We start from the raw sequence: 26,258 nt of genomic DNA, 5'->3' as shown, positions 1-26,258 counted from the left end.
ATAATAATAATATACAGATAGTTCTTGGCACCTGGTATGTACTAAATACCCAGTAGCTCTTATGATTCTAGCCAGGCGGTGTCTGCTCATTCTGCCTCCCCTGGGGATCAGGTTAGGGAAGTCAAGCCCTTCTCACCCTCGCTTCTCAAAGTGGGTCCCAAAACAAGGAGCATGACCTGCAAGTGTGTTAGGAAGGCAGGCCCACCGCACCACGCTCTGCATTTTAACCTGATCGCAGGGGCATTCCTTTGCTAGTTGAGTGTGAGAAGCATGGCATCTTATGTGGTCCAGGCTAGTCCTCAGCCCAGATGAGGCCCCACATTCTTGCACTCCAATGTGAGCACAGCCGCCTCCTCTTTAGCGGGTCCCGCTCCTGACTCCAGCCACACACGAACAGCTGGTGTGTGCTGTGGCTTATGGTAAGCCACACATCATCCCATTTAATCCTCAGGTGATTCTGGGAAGCAAGGACTGGTCTACTCATTTTTCAAATGAGAAATCTGGCCGGGTGTGGTGGCGCATGCTTATAATCCCAGCACTTTGGGATGCTGAGGTAGGAGGATTGCTTGAGCTCAGGAGTTTGAGACCAGCCTGGCCAACATGGTGAGACCTCTGTCTCTTAAAAAAAATTTAAATAAATAAATAAATAAAACGAGAGATCTAAGTCTCTAAGATGAAGGAACATTTCCAAAGGTTGCCCAGCTACTCTGTCACAGAGTCAGGATTTAAACCCATTTGAATTTGGGCCATTTGAATCTAGAGCCACAGTCCTGACAAAAATTCTCTCCTTGAGCACGCTCTCGCCAGCCTTCCTCTGAACTCCCATCTCCACTAGACCTCAAACTTGGCATATTAAAACTGCAGACTTTCAGCACAAATGCTTAAGTCCACACCCCCATACTCCCATGAAAAGACTTAAGTTACATGGTGTCCAACATCTCAAGACCACATCTGTGGGATGCCCGTACCTGCCTGAGAAAGCCCAAAGCTGCTGAAAGAAATTACTGTTTGTTCCAGCAACACTAGAAGATGGACCCTGTCCCCCAGCCTCCAAGGGAGGGCAGGAGCCTAACCCTAAGCGCCAGTTAGCAAACCCAGACAGGTGTCACGCCAACCACACTCCTTCCTGCTCTCTCTGGTTCCCCTTCCTGACTCTTGAGCCCCCCTCCCAACCACCACCCCTCCCATCACCTCCGCACAAATCCAAGTGGAGCTCAGTTCCCGCTGGGCCCTGCTCTCTAAAGCAATGGCTTATGACTGATTAAAACCTGTCCCTGCTGGGCACGGTGGCTCACGCCTATAATCCCAGCACTTTGGGAGGTTGAAGCAGGCAGATCACTTGAAATCGGGAGTTCAAGACCAGCCTGGTCAACATGGCAAAACCCTGTCTCTACTAAAAATACAAAAATTAGCCAGGCATGGTGGTGCATGCTTGTAATCCCAGCTACTCGGAAGGCTGAGGTAGGAGAACTGCTTAAACCCAGGAGGTGGAGGTTGCAGTGAGCCAAGATGGCACCAATGCACTCCAGCCTGGGCAACAGAGTGAGACTCTGTCTCAGAAAAATAAATAAAACCTGTCCCTACCACTTTAGTGTCCGCCTTTACCTCTGACAGCTCTTCACCACTGTGTCATCCGTCTAACACTGATAGGACAGAAAATCCCCTGGGCCATTTCTCCACTCAGTCAACTTGATTAAAAGAAACCCTGTCCCAGGTTACTTGCAGGTGTGGGCCCCAGGCCGCTGGAGTCCGGGACTCACCTGTCCCAACGCGCATCCATTTTGGTAAAATGGACGAAGGGGAGAAATCTGTACCTATGTCGCAGCAGGGAGGGCAGCAGAAATACCAACAAGAGGGGTCTCTGAGTGACAGCCTTGGCACGCCCGAGGCATCCCTGGGGAACTCTGAAGCCCTGGGTGGTGACCGACAACCCTGGGGGACTGACAATGGGTACAAGCAGCAGAGATCACTGGAGCCTGTTCTTTCGGTGTCACTCCCAGCTGCCGTCTTGAAGGGGCCCTGCCCAGACAAGTTGCCTGGAAGTGTCTCTTTGCAGCCTCTGTAGGATTGTTGTGGAATGATCTGACGGTATCTGAAATCAGGCCTTGGCGAGCACAGGTCTTGGCATCCAGACACCATCTGGCCTCCCGAAGTGCTGGCATTATGTGTGTGACCCGCGGCGCCCAGCCTGCCCTTTCTTCTTGTCAGGCAGGTTTGGCTGAGACACCTCTTCTGGAAAGAGTCCTCCCCTCAGCCTCCAGCCCCAGCAGTGCTTGCCCCATCACACGCCCAGGCCTCTGGGGCACTAACCGCCATCCCCTACTTGAGATGCAAACCCCCAAAGGCCAGCAGTTGTCCTGTTTTGTTTACTTGCACATTCCCCAAGGCCTGGACTCCTGCTGGGCCCAGAGCTGAGGCTCCCTCGACAGTGGTGGGCAGAATGATCTAGCAGAGGTGGAGGGCCTGGGGGGGACCTGCCTGTCTGCAGGCAGCATTCCTGGGGCCCCCGGGGTCTCTAGCCCTCAAGGCAGAGGATCTGAGGGAGATATGGGGGTACCCACAGCCTGACTCCCATTTTCCTCTCAGCAGCTGCGTTACTGAACAGGCAAGGTTAACCTCAGAGGCCACGAAAGACATTCTTAGGCCCATGAGACAGGCCAGGCCACGACCACTTCCTTTTTTTTGAAGAAAACCTCTCCTCCCGGAGCCTGAGGGAGCACTCAGCTGCTGCGCTCCTGCCAGCTTAGCAGTGGGCTCCTGGCCAGTGTGGCTGTCATTGTGACAGGCATTTGTTTGGGGTTTAACTTCCTTGAGCAACAAGCAGTTTCTCAAGTGTGGTGAAGGGGGACCTGCCTCCCCAGACCCCTGGGCATGTGGGTCTGAGGAGCCCATTCACGGGCCCCTCATGGTGCTGATCCTGGCTGGCCATTCTCAGGGAAGGCAGTTCCCACAGGGTCACCTCTGCAAGGTGGCAGCCGGGGGGGATGGTTCCTGCCCGTCTGGTCTAACCTGAGACGAGTTTTGGCTACCCCACCACGAGTTATGAGACGAGCAGGCTGGGGCCTCACTGCCCCTGGCTCACCTCTGCATGTCGCTGGGTTTCTCAAGGAGCTCAGACTGCAAGTGAGTAAGCATTTCCACTCTCCTCAGAGAAGAGAGATTGTGCTCCAAAGTGTAATGGCGAATGGGCCACCACCTCCCCTTCGCCCAGATATTCTGACTATGGAGCAGGTGGAGGCTGCAGGGGCCTCACATGCCAGCTCCTGGGTAAAGTATGTATGAGCACAGAGCCCCGGGCTACATAGTGAGGGAAGGCAGCCAACTCGGGACTTATCGGACCCGTGGCCTCTGTGCTCCCAGCATGTATGGGGCTGAGATGATGGCCTGGACCTCGAGGAAACACAGGCAGGAGGAGGCATGAAGGCGCTGAAGGGAACCTCTCCACTCGATTCTCTTTGTATGACACAGAAAGTCCACAAAGCCTCCGAGATGTGTTTACTTATTCTTCTGTGTCCCCAAAACCCCTTTCCAAAATAACATTTAAATGATTGTTCTGTGCTGTGTGTTCAAATGGAGATAATCAGATGCCAGTGGCTTTACAATGTGGGTTGCATTCCATTTTCCCAGGCGCCCAGGTCCTGGGTCTCTAGGCCACCGCCCGCCGTGGCCGCCCCTCTGCTCACCAGGGAGGCCAGACAGGAACCCTGCAGCTGCCAGAGCAAGCACGTCCCACAGCCTTGGGAGGCCTCCCAAAATGTGTCCAGATTCCCACAGGCAGAGAGAGAGGGACTGAAAGGCTGAAGTGAAGTGACCGTGCCTGCCCAGCCTGGGACTGAGAGCCTGAAGACCAGCTTTCCAGACTCTGTCCCAGAACCCCCTTGGCCCTCAGCAAATCCCCTCCTCCTGGCCTGAAACAGACTCCAGGCTTCTTGCAGAGACGTCTTCTGTGGAGAACCAGAAAGATTGAGTCCACCCTGACTGTCCCGGGACAGAGCTGCTGAGCAGGGTGCAGGAGCCACAAACACCGGATCTTTCGAGGCACATCAGTGACAGATCTGGGCACAGCTGGACCAGCCAGGACATTGAGCCACTGCAGCCCCAAGGCTCTAAATGCGGTGCTTCAGCTCTAGCTTGGCCACCGTGGCCCGGTGCACCTCGTCAGGGCCGTCGGCAAAGCGCAGGGCTCGGGCCCAGGTGAAGAACTGAGCCAGTGGGTAGTCGCTGCTCAGGCCTGCTGCTCCAAAGGCCTGGCAGACACAGAGTGGAGGGAGGCGGCCCTGGGTCAGCCCTTGTCTCCGAGAGCCCCAGGAATGATAGCCTGCTCTTGATGGCCCATAACAACCATCTTCCCGGACTTCCCTGTGGCACCTATGTGATACAATCACTAATATTCCAGAGGGCTTCCATGGGGCCACACCTGCCATCCCACGGCCTCCAGACTCCCCAGGCCCACTCTGCAGGTGCCTTCTGCCCTGTGCTGGGGCCGGGGGTTAGGATCTAAGGAGGCGGCCCCCCTGCATGGGAAAGAGCCTGGGCTCTGGGCTTATGAAAACCCAAGTTCATGTGAATTTGAGGTCAGCTACTTGCAAGCTCAGTGACCTGGACAAGTCACTTCACTTTTCTGTGCCTGTTTCCTCACATTCAAAATGGGGGTACGATGGCACCTCCCACCTTGCTGGGTCATTCTGAAGAGGAAAAGGAAAGTTGCATGCATGGTGAGTGGGTGACACAGGGCATCTGCCAGGGTCTATGGGAGGCTGGGCGGCTGAAGATAGGAGAGTTTGGCATCTAGTATTGATGGTTCAAATAAGCCAACTGTCTGGTCTGTGCTCACCTGAATCGCACGATCAATCACTCGGGAGGCCATGGACGGGGCGACCATTTTAATCATGGCTATATCCAAGGCTGCAGCCTGTAAGGAGGAGGAGATGCGATCATAAAAGACCCGAGGGCAGCCTGGGTGGCAGAGTGAGGCCCCCCCGTCCCCCATCTCTACTAAAAATACAAAAACTAGCAGGGTGTGGTAGCATGTGCTTGTAGTCCCAGCTACTCAGGAGGCTGAGGTGAGAGGATTGTTTGAGTCTGGGAAGTTGGGGGCTGTGGTAAGCTGAGATTGCAACACTGCACTCAAGCCTGGACAACAGAGTGAGACCCCCTCTCAAAAACAAACAACAGGCCAGGCGCGGTGGTTCAGGCCTGTGATTCCAGCACTTTGGGAGGCCGAGGCGGGCAGATCACCTGAGGTCAGGAGTTTGAGACCAACCTGGCCAACATATAGTGAAACCCAGTCTCTACTAAAAAATACAAAAATTAGCTGGGCGTGATGGTGCACACCTGTAGTCCCAGCTACTTGGGAAACTGAGGCAAGAGAGCTGCTTGAACCCGGGAGGCGGAGGTTGCAGTGAGCCAAGATTGTGCCACTCTACTCCAGCCTGGGCCACCGAGTGAGACTCTGTCTCTCAAAAACAAAACGAAAAACTAAACCACAAAAAAGACCCGAAGGCAGAAAGCCTGGAAGAATGATCAGATTCCCAGCAAGAAGTCAAACACCACCGTCCAAAACAGAGGCCCCAAGGTCTCGCTGATGTGAGCTGGGTGAGGCTGCCCCTGCCTGGTGTACGGCTTGACAGCACCCAGGGATGAAGGGCGCCATGTTGGCAACTATTATCTTATGTCACAAGATGCGAAGCAAGTGCTGGCAGAATGTGGCTGTCTTCCCAGATGACGGGGAACACAGCCAGCACACACTGAAGGGATAAGGGGAGGGTCCTGTGCTTTGCTCAGGGTCACGGCCAGCTCTGCCTCCAAGCAGCAGTGGACCAAGGCCACTCAGGGCTCTGGGAAACCGAGCTACAGTGATCTGCCCTGGGGCAGGGTGTTCAAGGGAGACACCCAGCAGCCTCCACCATATCTAGCACGCCAGCGTCAAAGAACCAGGAACTGTGAGCATGAGCATGGGTTGGTCCCTGATGGTTGAGGGTCTTGGGTGGGGTTGGAGGCTGCCCCACAGAAAGCTGGACAAAGCAAGGTCAACATGGCATTGTGCTTGGTCATCACAGGCACTTAGAAAGAGCCTTAGTTAGCCTGGGCAACATGGTGAGAGCCGGTCTCTACAAAAAATAAAGAATTAGCTGGGCATGGAGGTTTGCGCCTGGAGTCCCAGCTACTTGGGAGGCTGAGGCTTCAGTGAGCCATGATGTACCACTGCATTCTAGCCTGGCTACAGAGCAAGGCCCTGTCTCAAAAAATAAATAAATAAAAGGTTAAAAAGAGCCTTAGTGAATGACTAATGTCACACTTGAAAATAAGCTTCTATTTTTGTTAATTCAATATTCAGATGAAGGCCAGCAGAGGGTCCCTTTTCCCTGCCTTACTCTTAGGTTGCCCAACACCTCCACCAATGGCCCTGGGAGTCCAGGGCCACCCAGGGGCCCTGTGGCCCCATCAGACCCACTGCCTTGGACTAAGCAGCTCACCAGGTCAGTAAAACACAAAGGCCAGTCCTCTCTTCTTGTGCCTTTCCAATTTTTGAAAAACTGCCCAAACAGCTCCAAGTAGAGGTGAAATAAAGTTTCTAATGTCAAGAAGCCAGGCTCTCATGCTTTGCTGAGTGAGGAGGAAGAATCTCTGCCTCTGGGAGGCCCCCTCGTGCCCCTGCCCCTACCTTGTTTCCTGCCAGGTCCATGAGGTGGGCAGCTCTCAGCACCAGCAGCCGTGCCTGCTCAATCTCCACGCGCGACTGCGCGATGTCCGCCAGCACTGTGCCCTGCTCCACCAGGGGCTTCCCAAAAGCCAAGCGGGACTTCACCTGTCGACACAGGAGATGTGCGGCTGAGGACATGCTGGGCTGGGGGTGGCCACGAGAGGCGGGGGCTGGTGGCCTGCAGAGCTGGGTGGAAGCAGACAGGACAGGGCAGGGGAGGAGAGTGAAACCAGGACTGTGCATCTTCTCAGCCAAGGTGCCTGTGTGCAGCCATGCGCCATGTCCAGGGAGTAGGTCTGACACACAACCTTCACGTGTGCCACAGCCAGCCACAGCCCACAGGGTGCCTGTAACAAATTGCTTCCAAGAACCCTTTATTCCAGCCATTGCACATCTGGGCAGGCCTGGCTACCAGACAGGAGCAGTTATAGATCTGAGCCAGCATCTGACCCAAGGCTACTCCTGGGAATGAGGGAGTGACTGCAGGCACTGCACACGGCGCAGGCGAAGGGTGCCCTCTGCTGACCGCAGCACCCCTTCCTGCCCTGCAGCTCCAATGGGAGCAAGGTCCCCTCAGCCCCGTCTCGCTCCCGGCCTTCCGCCGTGGGTGGCCTTATCTGCAAGGGGGATTTTAAATTCTGAAAGTCACAAGGCATCAGAAAAGGTTCTAAGTATTCCTTTTTTTTTCTTGTTTTATTTATTCTTTTTCCTTCTTTTTTTTATTATTTTTTTGGAGACGGGGTCTCACTTTGTTGCGCAGGCTGGAGTGCAGTGGCGTGATCTTGGCTCACTGCAACCTCCGCCTCCCGGGCTCAAGCAATCTTCCTACCTCAGCCACCTGAGTAGCTGGGACCACAGGCAAGAACCACCACATCTAGCTAACTTTCCAATTTTTTGTAGAGACAGGGTCTCACTACATTGCCCAGACTGGTCTCAAACTCTTAGACTCAGGCAATCCTCCTGCCTTGGTCTCCCCAAGTGTTGGGATTACAGGCATGAACCACCACACCCAGCCTAGTTTTTTTTTTTTTTTTTCACTAAAAACAATCTACACAAATAATTTATCTCATGGCAGAAAAACTACCTGTTTTCAGAACAAAAAAAGAGAAGACAGTAAGAGCACCTAGAATCCCACCATCTAGTCACCACTAGTTAATATTTGGTGGATATTCTCCTCTATCCTTCTATAGTTTTTTTATATATACTTATTTTTTCCAAAAACGGGAGCCACACTCTATATATGGTTTTGTAGCCTTTTTGTTTGTTTGAGACAGAGTTTCGCTTTTGTTGCCCAGGCTGGAGTGCAGTGGCGCGATCTCGGCTCACTGCAACCTCTGCCTCCCGGGGTTCAAGTGATTCTCCTGCTTCAGCCTCCCAAGTAGCTGAGATTACAGGTGCCTGCCACCACACCTGGCTAATTTTTGTATTTTTTTAATAGAGATGGGGTGTTTCATAATTTTGGCCTGACTGGTCTTGAACTCCTGACCTCAGGTGATCTGCCTGCCTTGGCCTCTCAAAGTGCTGGGATTACAGGCATGAACCACAGCACCCGGCCAGCCTGCTTAAAACAATAACAACAACAACAACAACAACAACAAAACATTATTTTGCATCAAAGCTAACAGCCTGTTTTTGTTTGTTTTTTTTTTTCCCAGACAGGGTGTTGCTCTGTTACCCAGGCTGCAGTGCAATGGCACACTCACAGGTCGCTGCAGCCTCGACCTCCCAGGCTCAGGAGATCCTCCCACCTCAGCCTCCTGAGTAGCTAGGACTATAAATGTGTGCCACCACACCTGGCTACTTTTTTTTTTTTTTTTTGAGACAGAGTATCGCTCTTGTTGCCCAGGCTGGAGTGCAATGGTGCGATCTCGGCTCACCGCAACCTCCACCTCCCGGGTTCAGGCGATTCTCCTGCCTCAGCCTCCCAAGTAGCTGGGATTACAGGCATGCGCCACCACGTCCAACTAATTTTATATTTTTAGTAGAGACAGGGTTTCTCTATGTTGGTCAGGCTGGACTCGAACTCCCGACCTCAGGTGATCTGCCCACCTCGGCCTCCCAAAGTGCTGGAATTACAGGTATGAGCCACCACACCCAGCCCCACCTGGCTACTATTTTTAATTTTTTAATTTTAATTTTTTTTTTTGAGATGGAGTCTTGCTTTGTCACTCCGGCTAGAGTGCAGTGGTGCAATCTCAGCTCAGTGCAACCTCCGCCTCCTGGATTCAAGTGATCCTCCTGCCTCAGCCTCCCAAGTAGCTGGGATTACAGGCATGTGCCACCATGCCCAGCTAACTTCTGTATTTTTAGTAGAGACGGGGTATCACCATGTTGGCGAGGCTGGTCTTAAACTCCTAACCTGAAGTGATCCGCCCACCTCAGCCTCCCAAAGTGCTGAGATTACAGGCGTTAGCCACCGCGCCCAGCCTTATTTTTTATAGAGATGAGGTTTTGCCGTATTGCCCAGGCTAGTTTCAAATTCCTGGGCTCAAGCAATCTGCCTGCCTCGGCCTCTCAGAGTGCTGGGAGTGTCACCACACCTGGCCACAGTCTTTTTTTTTAAATTTAAGTGTATATAGTGAGCAATTTCTCCATGTTAAGGAATAGATTTCCACAGCATCATTTAAAGTCTCACTGTATGCCATCTTGTGTTTTATTTGGCCAACAGTCATTGTTAGCCTTATAGGTTGTTCAGAATTTTGCTATTTCAATAAGCACTGTGGTGAACCTCCTTGTAGCAAATCTTTTGTAGATTCCTAATTACTCCAACCAAGTCTTCAGTGGAGGTGCCATGTTCATGCTATGCACTTTCTGGAGACTTCTGTCTGACTCATTCAGTCCAATTATTCTGCCAGAAGGCTGAATTTAATTCCATGTGGGGCTGAAGCACCATACCTGAGTCCATAGACAGGAGCGTTTTACTTAGAAAGAAAAAATAACTGGTCAGTCTTAACTCAAAAGGGTGTAAATCACAGGTTTGCTCGGTAATAAAAAATTCAGACTGCCTCTGTTCTTTCAATAGCAGTTCTTGTGAGACACTGGTTTTGGTCTCAGGGTTTGCGTCACCTTTCTGAAATTGATAATCACCAATTTGAATTCCTGTCCTGGAAGCAGCTGTCTTTTAACCTAGGTTTCCAAACTTTGGGGGTGGTAGGATTATGGCCGAATAAAGTTTTCTGGATGTGCTGTGGAGGAGGGTGGTACAGGCCAGATGATGGAAGCCTAGGGACAAAAACAAGCAACATGGGATCTCCCTGGTGTCTGATTTTTATTTATTTATTTATTTTTAAAGAGACAGGGTCTCACTCTGTCACCCAGGCTGGAGTGCAGTGGTGTGATCACTGCTCACTGCAGCCCTAAACTCCTGGGCTCAAGCGATCCTTCTGCCTCAGCCTCCTGAGTAGCTGGGACTAGAGACACATGCTACCATGCCTGGCACTTAAAACTTTTTCTTTTTGGCCAGGCACGGTGGCTCACGCCGGTAATCCCAGCACATTGGGAGGCTGAGGTGGGCGGATCATGAGGTCAGGAGATCGAGACCATCCTGGCTAACACGGTGAGATCGAAACCATCCTGGCTAACATGGTGAAACCCCATCTCTACTAAAAATACAAAAAATTAGCCAGGCATGGTGGCGGGTGCCTGTAGTCCCAGCTACTCGGGAGGCTGAGGCAAGAGAATGGTGTGAACCCAGTAGGCAGAGGTTGCAGTGAGCCAAGATCGCGCCACTGCACTCCAGCCTAGGCAACAGAGTGAGATTCCGTCTCAAAAAAAAAAAAAACAAAAAAAACTTTTTCTTTTTTTTGCCGGGCACGGTGGCTCACACCTGTAATCCCAGCATTTTGGGAGCCCGAGGCGGGCAGATCACGAGGTCAAGGGATCGAGACCTTCCTGGCCAACATGGTGAAACCCTGTCTCTACTAAAAATACAAAAATTAGCTGGGCGTGGTGGCACGTGCCTGTAGTCCCAACTACTTGGGAGGCTAAGGCAGGAGAATTGCTTGAACCCGGGAGGTGGAGGTTGCAGTGAGCCGAGATCACACCACTGAACTCCAGCCTGGTGACAGAGCAAGACTCCATCTCAAAAAAAAAAAAAAAATTTTTTTTTTTTTTGTAGAGACTGAGTCTCTCTTTTTCGCCTAGGCTGGTCTCAAATGCTTGGCTTCAAGCAACCCTCCTACCTAGACCTCCCAAAGTACTGGGATTATAGCTGTGAGCCATTGCACCCAGACTGATTTTTAATAATGTGCTAGCAGCATGACCTTTACACCTTGGAACCTTGCCTCTGCTGCTACAGAGCCTGGCGTTTCCCTTCAGGTCACCTCGACAGAGTGGGGTCCATTCTGCTCTGAATCCAAACTGCAGCAAAGTAGCAGATGCAAAGCAGACAGGAATGCAACTTCTTGGCAAGGACATCACCTTGCTTCACCTGCTAGGACTGCACTCAGAAAACAGGTAGGAATTGAAGTCCGACAGCAAAGCAGAAGGTGGTGGTTCTGAGTCAGTGCTGGGTGCGGGGGAAAGCACTCACGCGGGCCTTCATGAGTGCCAGGGCCCTCTCTGAGAACCCGATCAGCCTCATGCAGTGATGGATCCTGCCGGGGCCCAGTCTGCCCTGGGCGATCTCAAAGCCTCGGCCAGGGCCCAGGACCATGTTCTCTTTGGGCACACGCACGTGCTCAAATCGGACTTCACCATGGCCACCTGAAAGACCCAAACGATCACTGTGAGCAATAGCCATAGTCATTTTCCTTGGATGTGTTTATTCCTCACCTCAGTCTGGGTTATCTGCTGGCAATGTCCCTGCCCTTTATTTAGCCTTCTTACTGGGACATGGTTAAAGGGAAAAGGACGGCAGGAAACAGCCTGTTAAACACAGAAAATGAATCACTGATTTATAATGGCAAATGACTATTCTGTGATTCCTTTTATAAAAACATAATAATGCCACCTTAAGCTGAAGCTCCTAGTGGTTTGTGACAATGTAGTGATCCTATGAAAACACTGAAAGTAAAAATGTGAACACTATTAGCAGAGAACCAAACTGGGAGCGGACCAAACCAGGGCTGTGGCCTAGAGGTCAGCTGTTCACACTGGGGCCTGGAAGAGTAGGTTTGGGGTCCACTTCCTGCGTCTGCCCTGTATGGCTTCCTGTGTCACAGACTCCTGATTACTTTCTAAGTTTAGAAGAGGGAAAAAAATCCATAAATGCCTGTCTGAAATCCGCCTGCATGGTTGATATTCATGTATGGAAATGAAATGCAGGAGCATGTGACTCCAAATGTCATCATACCCTCAGACGTGGGATGTGGCAAGTCCTGAACAAGAGCAGGGGCCCCTCAGTGGTGTTTCCTGGGGACCAGACCCACACCCAGGGGTGACCCGCCCCTGGAGGTCTCACCTGGTGCATCTTCCAGTCCATACACCGTCAGAGGCCGGATGATTTTTATCCCTGGGGTATCCATGGGAACCAAGAGCACAGACTGCTGCCGGTGTCTTGGTGCATGTGGGTCTGTTTTTCCCATAAACACACAGAGTTGGCAACGAGGATCCAGGATGCCTGCCAGGAAAGGAGAGAGACAGACCCCATCATCTGACACCAGGGCCATCAAATCTCTACACACGTGGTCCTGGCCCAAGAAAGGCACAGTAAGGAAGCAGACAGAGCTCTTTAAGGCTCCATGTAATCAGATGAGCATCTGCAGACTGCTGACCAGAAATAAGAGCAAATTGGGTTTTGTCCCAGTGAGGAATGAATCCAACATCATAAGAGCAAGTTTTTAAAAGCATCACATAGAGTAGAAAATATAATTTAGAGACAAGAGGATGAAAACCGCTACTTGATCCCTGCCAGCTGGCTCGGCTCCCACAGGTGGTGCACACATAACGGCTCTGGGCCCGGGCCTTGGAATCAGGTGAACCTTTGACTCTGGGTTCTCTACTTGCTGGCTGGGGGCTCATACCCCAGGCAAGGGACCTAAGTCTGAGTGCGGTTTCCTCCTTTGCAAAATGGGGATGCTCATTCTTAATGTCCAGGGAGGTATGGGCTCCGGGAGGTAAGCTCCACGGCTACTTGTAGGGGCCCTGCAAAAGTAACACTGGACAATCCCTAAAAGTCAGGATTGTCATTAGCCCTTAGGATGTAACACACCTGATCGAGGAGCCAGGAAGCCACCAAGGAAGGGGAGCTGCCCAAAGCAGAATGAACAGCAGGAAGTGGAGAGATTCCTGGGGTCACATGTGCAGGGAGGCATCCGTCCATGTGTGGGCACCGGGGGACGTCCCTGCCCTGTGAAGTGCCACCTCTGAGAACAGTGTGCTCCACGGATTACCCTCCTATTCTCCCAGCTGCCTCTGCTGGGGGCGCTAAGTGACAGAATCTCCTTTGTGTCAACTTGAAAAAGCAGAGGCTCCTCCCAGGCATTGAGAGACGCGCCTAACAGCACAGACTCCCTGATGTGCATTTGGAAAGTGCATTTTAGGCCAAATACCTGTGATCCACCATTTGTGACCGTTTATGACATAGAAGCTGTCCTCCTCTCTGATGGAAGCCTCAATGTTGGTGGCATCTGAAGAGGCAACCTGAGTGGGGAGCATATTCCAGTCAGAGACGCCAGCAGACAGCCCGTGTTCCCTGTGGGGCCGACAACAACAGGGCCAGGCAAGTGGGTGGCAGCCCAGGCGACGTACCTGGGGCTCGGTCATAGCAAAACAGGAGCGGGCTTTCCCCTCCAGCAGAGGAATCAGCCAGCGAGCCTTCTGCGCTTCGGTGCCATACCTCACCAGCAGCTCCATGTTGCCCGTGTCAGGCGCAGAGCAGTTACATACCTGAGAAGGAAAAGGAGCGTGACCATGACTGTCATGTCCTCTTCTAAAAAAAACAGAGTCAAGCTCTGTCACCCAGGCTGGAGTATCGTGGCACGATCATGGCTCACTGCAGCCTCGACTTCCTCAGCTCAAGCCATCCTCCCATGCCTCAGCTTCCCAAGCAGCTGAGACTACAGGTATGCACCATCACACCCGATTAATTTTTTATTTTTTTGTACATACAGAGTTCTATGTTGCACACGCTGGTGTCGAACTCCTGGCCTCAAGTGATCCCCCACACTTCGGCCTCCAAAAGTACCGGGATTACAGGTGTGAGCCACCATGCCTGGCCTTCTCACATTAATATTTCAAGCTTCAAATTGGATGGGCATGGTGGCTCACGCCTGTAATCCCAGCACTTTGTGGGGCCAGGGTAGGTGGATCACCTGAGGTCAGGAGTTTGAGACCAGTCTGGCCAACATGGTAAAACCCTGTATCTACTAAAAATACAAAAATTAGCCAGGTGTGGTGGCACATGCCTGTAGTCCCAGCTACTTGGGAAGCTGAGGCAGGAGAACCACTTGAACCCAGGAGGCAGGGGTTGCAGTGCGCCAAGATTTCGCCACTACACTCCAGCCTGGGTGACAGAGCGAGACTCCATCTCAAAAAAAAAAAAAAGTTCAAGTTCATGCCAGTGCTTCTGAATCTGGTTTATCTGTTTAGGATTGAGTTCTTATGAAGATCAGGATGTTCCCACACACTGAGGAAAACTTTAAAGAAGGTACCTCGGGGGCATACAGGGACGTGCCCATGAGCTCACACAGATGTGCATATTCCACATTGGTCAGTCCTGCTCCGTATTTTTTCTCGGGATCAGCCTCTAAGGGTAGGAAAAGGTTCCAAAGTCCTTCAGCTTTGGCTTTCTCCTATCATGGGGAAAATAAGTCAGGAAACCACAGTGGAAGATTTCATTTTATTTTGAACCGTGGAAAACAATGAAAGGGATTGGAGGAAACAAGGCAGACAACCAAACATGCACGTGTGCCCAAAAAAATGATATGAGGAGCTGGGCATGGTGGCTGTGCCTGTGGTCCCAGCTACACAGGAGGCTGAAGTGGGAGGATCACATGAGCCCAGGAGGTTGAGACTGCAGTGAGCTATGACCACACCACTGCATTCCACCCTGGGTGACAAAGCGAGACCCTGTCTCAAAAAAAAAAAAAAAAAAAAAAAAGAGAGAGATGGTGGCTCACGCCTGTAATCCCAGCACTTTGGGAGGCCGAGGCGGGCGGATCACAAAGTCAGGAGTTCAAGACCAGCCTGAACAACATGGTGAAACTCCATCTCCATTAAAAATACAAAAATTAGCTGGGCATGGTGGCACGTGCCTATAATCCCAGTTACTCGGGAGGCTGAGGCAGGAGAATCGCTTGAACCTGGGAGGCGGAAGTTGCACAGAGCAAGACTCCGTCTCAAAAAAAAAGAGAAAAAAAGAAAAGTAGATGATGATTGCATTATGCTCCTGAAGATCTCAAGTAATTTCAAAACTAACACAATCCAAGGTTCACGTGATAAGGAACAGCGGGTGTTTCTGTTTATCAGCTGAAGTGACAGCACTGGGAGACAACACAGAAACTCAGCTCACAGTGGATCTGGCCCTCTAGCTGTGATATTACGGGTTCTCTAGAGAGAGATTTATTAGCTGATACAGCACTGTTTCAAATTTACATAATTCAAATACCCATCAGATAGGCCTAACCTGCCCTGGCTTTCTAAGGCCAAGCATTCCACTGCCTGGGCTGTGCAGTCACACCTGAGCCATCTGCCTGTGACACAGGCACAGCAAGAGCAAGAGATGGAAACTGAGTCATGAAGAGCTGGCTCTTTCTGAGACGATGGAAGCAAAGATCATTCAACTCGGAGCTCCTGTATCTTCACTGCCTGGGATGGTTCAGGTGAGCCCGGTGGGGTCGGGGAGGGTATGCCATGGTATTGGGGTCTTACCACCTCACCATGGCTGCTTTACCTTGAGGTCTTCGATCAGTGGGGAGGGGCTCCACCTGGCTGCTGAGGCCTGGTGACTCTGCAGCTCTGGCTCTGCAGGGTACACACGTTGCTCCATGAAGTGCTTCAGCCGGTGATACAGCTCTCTGACAGGTGGAGAGAGGCTCTCTGGAGAGATAACCAGACCTCCCCTTGAGGTATGAGCTGGGGAAGCTTCTGGAACGGAGCTATAACTCCTGCTGCCTGTGGGGCACCACTGGGACTGGGGCCTGGCCCACGTGTGGTAGGACCTTGTTAACGGATTTGTGAAGGGCATCTCTTTGAAAACCCGGAACCCTTCTTTGACTGCGAAATCCCACGCCAGGTTAGACACAAATTCGGTCAGCTTTCCAGTTTGTTCCGCATATGTGGAGCTTGCTTGCCCTAAGCAGAATCAAAGAAAAACAGTGATTACTCCCACACGACCCATCATAGGGATGTTAACATGTGATGACACTGTCACTTCAGCAGCTATTGCCATTTGCTGAGCACTTGCTAAGTACCAAACACTGTGCTAAGAGCCACTATAGCTCACTGAATCCCCAAAGCAATACAACTGCTTTCACCTGCACTTTGCACGCAAGAAAACTGAGTCTTAGAGAAGGAGGTGACTTGGACGAGCTGGAAGTTAGGGGGCTGGGGGCCAGAGTCCAACTTAGGTCTGCCTGCTCCCTGCTCTTGATCTCTGCTTTCCTAAAAGACTACATTTAATCAGTAACACCCCAGATCACCTCTGCCGTTGCCAGTGGGCTATAAGAAGTCCTGCATCCTAGACCACCCTTGCTACAAAATTGATAACAGCAATGCCACAACTGACTAAAGGAAGAGCCAACTTCTAGACACCACTGTCTCTGGAGGGAATCAACACCAGCATCACTCAGCTCACTATTTGGCTCTCACAGCGTCTCTTTCTTCTTGTAAAATGTGCATCAAGACTTTTTTTACAAACATATTTTTCCCCATTAAAAAAAATTAAGGTGGCCAGGTGCGGTGGCTCACACCTGTAATCTCAGCACTTTGGGAGGCTGAGGTGGGCGGATCACTTGAGGTCGGGAGTTCAAGACCAGGCTGGCCAACATGGAGAAACCCCCATCTCTACTAAAAATACAAAAATTAGCCAGGCATGGTGGTGTGTGCCTGTAATCTCAGCTACTCAGGAGGCTAAGGCATGAGAATCGCTTGAACCTGGGAGGCAGAGGTTGCAGTGAGCCGAGATCGTGCCATTGCACTCCAGCCTGGGAGAGAGTGAGGCACCCATCTCAAAAAAATAAATAAATAAAAATAAAAAAATTGAGGAGTGGTGTACATACACCTCCTTAATGTAGAACTCTGCAAGTCTTAACAAATCCATAGTTGGGTAACTACCATTGCCATCAAGATACAGAATACTTCGGCCAGGCGCAATGGCTCACACCTGTAATCTCAGCACTTTGGAGGCTGAGGCGGGTGGATCACCGGAGGTCAGGAGTTTGAGACCAGCCTGGTCAACATGGTGAAACCTGTCTCTACTAAAAATACAAAAATTAGCCAGGCATGGTGGCACATGCCTGTAGTCCCAGCTACTTGGGAGCCTGAGGTAGGAGAATCACTTGAACCCGAGAGGCGGAGGTTGCCTGGGCAACAGAGCGAGACTCCATTTCAAAAAAAAAAAAAAAAACAGAATATTTCCATCATCTGGAAATTTCCCCAGTGTACTTTTGTACTCAACCCCTGCCCCCCTGATCCCCAGCACCCACTGATCTCTGTTTCTGTAGTCTGTCTCTTCCAGGATGTCCCATAAATACATATGTCACTCAGCATGTGGCCTTTTCAGTATGGCCTCCATCACTCTGAGCCCTGCATCTGAGACACATCCAGATTGCTATGTGTACAATGTCTCCTCACAGTGAACTTTTTCACAGCCAGCTCTCCTGGATTACTTCTAGCACTTCCATGTCCCCAAGAGACTGTACCCAATAAATGGATAAATTGATAGTTCTAAAGAGACAGCCATTTTCTTTTTTTAAATGATTTCATTTTAGGCTGGGTGCTTTGGCTCACGCCTGTAACCCCAGCACTTTGGGAGGCTGAGGTGGGTGGATTACTGGAGGTCAGTTCGAGACCAGCCTGGGCAACATGGTGAAACCCTGTCTCTACTAAAAGTACAAAATTTAGCCAGGTGTGGTGATGCACGCCTGTAATCTTAGCTACCGGGGAGGCTGAGGCAGGAGAATCGCTTGAACCCAGGAGGTGGAGGTTGCCGTGGGCCGAGATCATGCCATTGCACTCCAGCCTGGGTGACAAGAGCAAAATTCCGTCTCAAAAAAATAAATATTTTATTTATTTTTAAATAAGAGATGGGGCCTTACTACGTTGCCCAAACTGGTCTCGAACTTCTGGCCTCAAACAATCCTCCTGTCTCAGTCTACCAAACTGCTGGGATTACAGGCATGAGCCACCATGCCCAGCTGAGACAGCCATTTTCATGCAGCTTTGGTGTTAAAGATAGTTTAAACTATTCCTTACAGAGTTAGGAACAAACTCAGAGCAAATTCTTTGCTACCCTGCAGAGAGTTAGCCTACTGGACCTCAATAGGTCTCTACTGAGGACCTTCTGGGTGCTAGGTATGAACCTAACCCAGGGAAGTCAGTCAGAAACCAGATAGCCTCTTCCTTGCAGACACACAGTGGGGGCTTATTCCTTATTCCTCGGACTGCACACAGCACATTGAAGGGAAAGATACTCCCTTATGTTCCTTATTATTCATAAGGATTTTCTTCTTCTAACAGAGTAAGAGGTGTATTCTTAATTTTCTTCTATTTGGTTGGCTCCCACTCTGAGACTGCTACTTTGTCCCTGAAAAAAGTCACTTGTATAAGCTTGGATTGATTTAGATCTATTGCTTCTGGTATATTTTCCAAAATGTAGTTCCAGCAGAAGAGACCACATCACTGGTGTCCACTTAACTTGCAGTCATAAGCACTTTATAGAATTTCAGTGGCCATCTACCAGAAATCTAATTTCTGCACCCACTTATTAAGGAAGGAGAAGGACACATGGGCTGGGCAGGTACATACTGTTAATCTTCTGCTCACTGGGCTCTGGTCTCTCTCATCCCCTTCCCAATCTAATGCTGATTTGAAGTCTTTTGTAAATGACACCATAGAGAGAATGTCTTGGAAACAGATACCCCTTCTCTAAGCTCCAGTTTTCCTGGCCAGTACCAAATATCTCAGCTGTTCAAACAAAAATGATTTTAAAGCTAATTGTAGAAGACAAATGTACAGAAGTAATATTTATGTTTGTATAGTTGGTTTTTTCCCCATTCATCATACGTTTTTATATTATTCTTTCAAAAAATGGATTTTGTTGTTTTTACATGAGAAAACTAAGCCATTTCCTCAGTGTGTCTGGCTGGCTTCCCAGAGGGAGGGAAAGGAGTGCACAGTAAGATAAGAGGAATAAAGGCCTGAACAAACAGACATTTTTCTGTCTGGTGGCAAACAGGTGGGGTGTTTTAGCTCTGGGCCGAGAGAAACCAGAAGCCACAACGATGGCTCACAGGATCTTAAAAACATGTCAAAGGGCTTCCTGAGAGACAGGCTGAGGACACTCAGTGTGGAGACTCTAAAATGGGCAGTCTATTAAGCTTTTCCCAGGTCACTGGAGCAGAGCAGGGAGAAAACTTGGCAGCCGGCTAGGAAATATCAGAGGTGACCAGGACTATTCATCACCATAAGGACTTAGCAGCCATTCTGTTTAAGTAAATATTTCTGGTTAGTGTTTATTGGAAAACTATAAAAAAAATGGGAAATAGTGGCTTACAGCTGATACTGTATTTTCCTAAAAGAGGGAAAATATTGTTTCCAGAAATTCCTGCTTCCAGCATCCCCTGCTTATCAGACCAGGTACAGTTAAACTAGAAATTCTCTGGGTACTGGTTTTTCTCCGGACAGTTTTTCTCATGACTGTGTATCTCCAGGACCACCTAGCACAGTGCTGGCTTTTAGTAGAGGCTCATATACTTGGGAATGAATGATCAATTCCCCTACTGCAACTGCTTCTCTCAGAAGACTCTGGCAACCTGGCTGAGAACACAGGCTGCCAGCAAGCTTGGGGTGTCACTGACTGCAAAGCTAAACACTCCATCAGCACTAGCAAATCCCATGATGAATTCCTTTCTCCTTCTTTCTCCTTGCCTTTTGTTTTTAAGTTTTGCTTTTGGAAAATTTCTTTTTCTTTTCTTTTTTTTTTTTTTTTTTTTGAGATGGAGTCTCGCTCTGTCACCAGGCTGGAGTGAACAGTGAAGCAATCTCGGCTCACTGCAACCTCTGACTCCCTGGTTCAAGCTATTCATCTGCCTCAGCCTCCCTAGTTAGCTGGGATTACAGACACCTAGTAGCTGGGATTACAGGCACACACCACCAAGCCCAGCTAATTTTTGTATTTTTAGTAGAGACGGGGTTTCATCATGTTGGCCAGGATGGTCTTGATCTCCTGACCTCGTGATCCCCCCGCCTCGGCCTCTCAAAGTGCTGGGATTACAGGCATGAGCCACCGCACCTGGCCTTTTTTTTTTTTTTTTTGAGATGGAGTCTTGCTCTGTCACCCAGGCTGGAGTGTAGTGGCACGATCTCTGCTCACTGCAACCTCTGCCTCCCGGGTTCAAGTGATTCTCCTGCCTCAGCCTCCCATGTAGCTGGGATTATAGGCGGCATCACCACACCCAGGCAATTTTTGTATTTTTAGTGGAGACGGGGTTTCACCATGTTGGCCAGGGGTCTCAAACTCCCGACCTCAGGTGATCCACCTACTTCGGCCTCCCAGTGTGCTAGGATTACCGGCGTGAGCCATCATGACTGGCCTCCTTTTGGAAAATTTCAAAGACACACAGGAGTAGAGAGGAGAGAATAACAAGCCTACGGGTTCTACTGCTCGCCTTCCGCAATGATCGATGCCAGCCCAGTCTGGTTTCATTCCCTGCCATCCCCACTCCCACTGTCCTGGATTTTTTGGAGTAAATCCCAAATATCTCATCTAGGATTCTTTCAAAACTCTAAAAACAAATGTTTTTTAAAAAACCCACAATACTATTATTACCCTTAAAAAATCGTTAACTGTTAACTTCTTCATATCATCGACTATCCACTCAGAATTCAAGTTTCAGTGACTATCATCAAAATTTTTTCCAAATAATTTGTTCAAGAAAGGATCCAAATAAGGTCCCAACACTGTAACTGGCTAACGTATCTTTTAAGTCTCTCCCCGCTCCCCCCACCTTTTTTTTTTCTGAGACAGTCTCACTTTGTTGCCCAGGCTAGACTGCGGTGATGCAATCATGGCTCGCCGCAACCTCCGCCTCCTGGGTTCAAGCAATTCTCCTATCTCAGCCTCCCGAGTAGCTGGGATTACAGGTGCCCGCCACCAGGCCTGGCTAATTTTTATATTTTTTAGTAGAGACAGGGTTTCCCCATGTTGGCCAGGCTGGTCTCAAACTCCTGACCTCAGGTGATCCACCCACCTCGGTTTCCCACAGTGCTGGGATTACAGGCGTGAGCCACCACGCCCAGCCTGATGTTTCTTTTAAGTCTCTCTCAATCTACAGGTTCCTTTTTCACCCTTTTCCTCCCCTTGAAATGTAAGTGTTTGAAGAAACTGAGTTGTTTGCCCTGTGATGTTTTCCAGAATCTGGATTTTGTGAGTGCTGTGCCCAGGGTGCTGCTGAACATGTCCCTCTGAACCCTGTGTTTCCCATGAGTTGGCAGCTAGCACTGGAGACCTGGGCAGAGTCAGTGTAACTTTTGAGGGAAGCATCAGGAGGTATATAATGTCTGGCTGTCTGTCTCTCAGTGGTGTTGGCTTTCATTGAAGCTTATTGCCCACATCCATTAATGCATTAGGAGTTGCAAATTGGTGATATGCAAATTCTATATTATTCTGTCCAGGATACTTCTCTAGAGAGAAACATTCCCTCATTGATTATTTGGATAGCCTGCAGTATCATTTGTACAGGAAAGACAGGACAAATGCTTGATTCCCCACCCCCCCACCCCATTTTCCAATTTTCAGAATAATAAGTTGCTTTCCTGGCAACCTCTGAGGTCATCAATGAGACTTTGTCTCTTTGTTTTTGTATCACTACTCATGGACTTATTTATTTAATTTTTATTTTTGGGGGGACAGTGTCTTGCTCAGTCACCCAGGCTGCAGTGCACAGGCGCGATCTCAGCTCACTGCAACCTCTGCCCCCTGGGTTCAAGTGATTCTCTCTCCTGCCTCAGTCCCCTGAGTAGCTGGGATTTTAGGCGCCCGCCATCACACCTGGCTAATTTTTGTATTTTTAGTAGAGATGTGGTTTCACCATGTTGGCCAGGCTGGTCTTGAATCCCTAACCTCAAGTGATCTGCTCACCTTGGCCTCCCAAAGTGCTGGGATTACAGGCCTGAGCCACCATGCCCGGCTACTACTCATGGATTTAAACATACCTGATGTGTTTCATCCATTTCAGCTATCATCCTTGGTGATGCCCAAAGTTTCCTATTGTTAGCAAGTGGGAGCCTGTTCAGGTTGGCTCCCAAGTCTTTTTTTTTTTTTTTTTTTGAGACAGAGTCTCATTCTTGTCGCCCAGGCTGGAGTGTAGTGGCACGATCTCGGCTCACTGCAACCTCCCCGTCCCAGGTTCAAGTGAGTCTCCTGCCTCAGTCTCCCAAGTAGCTGGGATTACAGGCACCCGCCACCATGCCTGGCTAATTTTTGTATTTTTAGTAGAGACACAGTTTCACCATGTTGGGTAGGCTGGATAGACAAGATGAACCTGGAACATTTTGTCATACTAGCGAGCAAGGAAGTTGTCAAAGACCACAGGGGTTTTACCTAAAGACTTGGGGACTGGCCGGGCTCAGTGGCTCATGCCTGTAATCCCAGCACTTTGGGAGGCCGAGGTGGATGGATCATCTGAGGTCAGGAGTTCGAAACCAGCCTGGCCAACATGGCAAAACCCCATCTCTACTAAAAACAAACAAAAAAATGACGCGGGTATGGTGGTATGTGCCTATAATCCCAGCTTCTTGGGAGGCTGAGGCATGAGAATTGCTTGAGCTGGTGAGGTGGAGGTTGCAGTGAACCAAGATCGCACCACTGCACTCCAGCCTGGGCGACAGAGTGAGAAACTGTCTCAACACACACACACACACACACACACACACCAAGAAATTTGCCTCATATAGTTGTTAAATATGCAAATGGTCACACACATATTTCACAGAAATTCTTAAGCTTACAAAATTTTAAAATCAAAGTACCGAAAAATACACATAGGATGATCACATTTGTGTAAAAGTAGGAGGAGAGAGAGAAGACAGATAAACAGAAAAACTGGAGGGCCCAGGAAACTCTTAACAGTAACATTTATCTTTGAGGAATGGTGTTGAAAAGGGTGAGATACAATTTTACATAATTCTATATGACCAAATTTTGATCATGTGCATGAATGCTTTAACTGGAAAAATTTCTTTGTGCATTACTTTAATAATTAAAAAACAAGTTTAAATATTGTAAAGAGGCTGGGCATGGTGGCTCACACCTGTAATCCCAGCACTTTGGGAGGCCAAGGCAGACGGATCACTTGAGGCCCGGAGTTCGAGACCAGCTTGGCCAACATGGTGAAACTTCATCTCTACTAAAAATACAAAAAAAAATTAGCCAGGCGTGGTGGCGCAGGCCTGTAGTCCCAGCTACCCTGGAGGCTGAGGCAGGAGAATCGCTTGAACCCAGAAGGTAGAGATTACAGTGAGCCAGGATCAAACCACTGGACTCCAGCCAGGGTGACAAAGCAAGACCCTGTCTCAAAAACAAATAATAAATAAATAAATATTGTAAAGAAAATATTTATGGACAAATGGTTAGATTAACTGAACCTCAGAGAATCCTGGCCAAATCGGTCTCTCCAAAGCCTCTGTGGCCCTGAGAGGGTTTCCAGGTGGAGGCACGGTCCTTGCTGTGACTCACCCCGCAGTGGCTCTTCAGGGCAGCCATCCCATTACCTGTGAGTGATCGCTTGTAGACTCCCTGTAGGATTGCAGCCACACGGAAAAAGGAAAAAGCCATATAGAAGTTCCAGTTCTCAGTGGGAGGGAGCCCCATTTGGAGACAGTACATCCTGAAATACTCCTCTGCAGCAGGGATTCCCAGCTGTGTCAAGTCACAGTCATTAATACCTGCGAGAAAGACAGAGCCATTCATGGGTAGTCACTGACGTGACACGCCCCTGTGGCTGGCAAATATTTAAATTCTGAAAATCGCCATGTCCCTTGCAAATTAGTTTCACGACCAGTTCCATGGGTTAGCTTATTCCTGCATTGGCTCTTGCTCCCTTAGATGGCTGGGGATCCAGGCATGAAGTCATTATTCACAAATTGGCTCTTACAGGTTTCAGACTCAACTGGCAGTAAAGGAAGGAATGGGAGCTTCCAATTCCATCTGGCCACAGTTAAGGGTGGATGCATATTATCTTCAACCAGTCATTTGATCAAAAATGATATGGAAAGAGCGATCTCAGGTCGAGCACAGTGGCTCATGCCTGTAATCCCAGCACTTTGGGAGGCCGAGTTAGGTGGATCACCTGAGGTCAGGAGTTCAAGACCGGCCTGACCAATATGGTGAAACCCTGTCTCTACTAAAAATACAAAAATTAGCCAGGCATGGTGGCGTGCACCTGTAATCCCAGCTACCTGGGAGGGAGGCTGAGACAGGAGAATTGCATGAATCCAGGAGGCAGAGGTTGCAGTGAGCTGAGATCACGCCACTGCACTCCAGCCTGGGTGACAGAGCAAGACTCCATCTCAAAAAAAAAAAAAAAAAAACAATTGGCTGGGTGCAGTGGCTCATGCCTCTAATCCCAGCACTTTAGGAGGCCGAGGAGGGCAGATCATTTGAGGTCAGGAGGTCGACACCAGCCTGGCCAACATGGTGAAGACCCTGTCTCTACTGAAAATACAAAAATTAGCCAGACATTGTGGCACACGCCTGTAATCCCAGCTACTCAGGAGGCCGAGGCCGGAGAATCGCTTGAACCCGGGAGGCAGAGGTTGCAGTGAGCCGAGATTGCGCCACTGTGGTCCAGCCTGGGCGACAGAGTGAGACTCCATCTCAAAAATAAATAAAACGAGTGACAGAGGGAGACTCCATCTCAAAAATAAATAAACAAATAAACAAATAAATAAATAAATATAAAAATAAAAAGATCTCACCAAATTATGAAAATGATAATTATAGCAAATAAAATAATTTCACGGGCCAGGCGCAGTGGCTCACGCCTGTAATCCTAGCACTTTGGGAGGCCAAGGCGGGCGGATCATGAGGTCAGGAGATCGAGACCATCCTGGCTAACACGGTGAAACCCCATGTCTACTACAAAAACAAAAATTTAGCCGGGCGTGGTGGTGGGTGCCTGTAGTCCCAGCTACTTAGGAGGCTGAGGCAGGAGAATGGTGTGAACCTGGGAGGTGGAGCTTGCAGTGAGCTGAGATCGCGCCACTGCACTCTAGCCTGGGCAACAGAGCGAGACTCCGTCTCAAAAAAAAAAAAAATTCACTTATTTCCTCCAGTTGTGACATTTTCATGATTTAGAAGCATGTAATATATTCCATTCCTAGGTATTAATCTTAGGAGTATACCTTATATATAGGCAAATATATTACTACAAGGATGTTCACTGCCTTTTTTTCATGGAAGTAGGGGAAGTAATACTAAAAAATTGGAAACAAATTAAATATCTAAATAGGAATTAACCCAAATGTCTTCCCTTAATTCTTTTTTTTTTTTTGAGATGGAGTCTTGCTCTGTTGCCTAGGCTCGAGTGCAGTGGCGCCATCTCAGCTCATTGCAAGCTCCGCCTCCCGGGTTCACACCATTCTCCTGCCTCAGCCTCCTGAGTAGCTGGGACTACAGGTGCCCACCACCACGCCCAGCTAATTTTTTTGTATTTTTAGTAGAGACGGGGTTTCACCATGTTAGCCAGGATGGTCTCGATCTCCTGACCTCGTGATCCACCCGTCTCGGCCTCCCAAAGTGCTGGGATTACAGGCGTGGGCCACCGCGCCCGGCCGTCTTCCCTTAATTCTATACAATAAAATTATATGCTCTCATTAAAAATTATGCTATAGAAGAAATACTTAATGTCATGAAAACATGTCTACAGTATACAATGAAGTGAAAAAAAGCATGCCATTAGATCATGTTACATTTTTGTTTTGTTTTAGGAAATGTACATATACACACAGAAGAAAAGATGACATGGATAGATACTGAAATGTCAGCAAATGGTTATCTCTGGGACTACTAATGATTTTAACTGTTTTGTTGTTGTTGCTATCTGTTGGCTCTAGTATTTTCACAATAAATGTGGTTTGTTTTTGTTTTTTTTGAGATGGAGTCTCGCCCTGTTGCCCAGGCTGGAGTGCAATGGCATGATCTCAGCTGACTGCAACCTCTGCCTCCCAGGTTCAAACAATTCTCCTGCCTCAGCCTCCCGAGTAGCTGGGGTTACAGGCACACGCCACCACGTCCAGCTAATTTTGTATTTTTAGTAGAGACAGGGTTCACCATGTTGGCCAGGCTGGTCTGGAACTCCTGACCTTGTGATCCACCCGCCTTGGCCTCCCAACGTGCTGGGATTACAGGCATGAGACACCACACCCAGCCACAATGAATGTGTTTTTAATTTAA

The 26,258-nt window shown here is 49.3% G+C and overlaps 1 protein-coding gene across 2 annotated transcripts in view, besides 3 other annotated features; it reads right to left on the bottom strand.

Moving 5' to 3' along the window:
• Positions 1,696–2,335: an enhancer, noted in NCBI's record as "H3K27ac-H3K4me1 hESC enhancer chr12:112196049-112196688 (GRCh37/hg19 assembly coordinates)". NCBI's record gives its function as "activates a minimal SCP1, AML or CMV promoter by ChIP-STARR-seq in naive H9 embryonic stem cells {active_cell/tissue: H9 hESC(naive)}" and the evidence as "EXISTENCE:reporter gene assay evidence [ECO:0000049][PMID:30033119]".
• Positions 2,336–2,977: an enhancer, noted in NCBI's record as "H3K27ac-H3K4me1 hESC enhancer chr12:112195407-112196048 (GRCh37/hg19 assembly coordinates)". NCBI's record gives its function as "activates a minimal SCP1, AML or CMV promoter by ChIP-STARR-seq in naive and primed H9 embryonic stem cells {active_cell/tissue: H9 hESC(naive and primed)}" and the evidence as "EXISTENCE:reporter gene assay evidence [ECO:0000049][PMID:30033119]".
• ACAD10 (acyl-CoA dehydrogenase family member 10) overlaps positions 3,481–26,258 on the bottom strand; it is a 71,047-nt gene continuing 48,269 nt past the window's right edge. For both annotated transcript variants that reach the window (NM_001136538.2, NM_025247.6), the window contains 10 exons: positions 23,576–23,749; positions 15,537–15,937; positions 14,296–14,436; positions 13,394–13,531; positions 13,195–13,285; positions 12,105–12,263; positions 11,235–11,407; positions 6,665–6,808; positions 4,835–4,912; positions 3,481–4,247 (listed from right to left, as the gene is read on the bottom strand). In NM_001136538.2, the coding sequence (NP_001130010.1) occupies positions 4,107–4,247; positions 4,835–4,912; positions 6,665–6,808; positions 11,235–11,407; positions 12,105–12,263; positions 13,195–13,285; positions 13,394–13,531; positions 14,296–14,436; positions 15,537–15,937; positions 23,576–23,749 (1,640 nt within the window). In that variant the 3' untranslated portion in view covers positions 3,481–4,106. The remainder of the gene's footprint in view (positions 4,248–4,834; positions 4,913–6,664; positions 6,809–11,234; positions 11,408–12,104; positions 12,264–13,194; positions 13,286–13,393; positions 13,532–14,295; positions 14,437–15,536; positions 15,938–23,575; positions 23,750–26,258) is intronic.
• Positions 3,619–4,260: an enhancer, noted in NCBI's record as "H3K4me1 hESC enhancer chr12:112194124-112194765 (GRCh37/hg19 assembly coordinates)". NCBI's record gives its function as "activates a minimal SCP1, AML or CMV promoter by ChIP-STARR-seq in primed H9 embryonic stem cells {active_cell/tissue: H9 hESC(primed)}" and the evidence as "EXISTENCE:reporter gene assay evidence [ECO:0000049][PMID:30033119]".

Source organism: Homo sapiens, chromosome 12, assembly GCF_000001405.40.
Source record: "Homo sapiens chromosome 12, GRCh38.p14 Primary Assembly".
Taxonomy (NCBI): Eukaryota; Metazoa; Chordata; class Mammalia; order Primates; family Hominidae; genus Homo; species Homo sapiens.
This window is presented reverse-complemented; position numbering and strand designations above follow the sequence as displayed.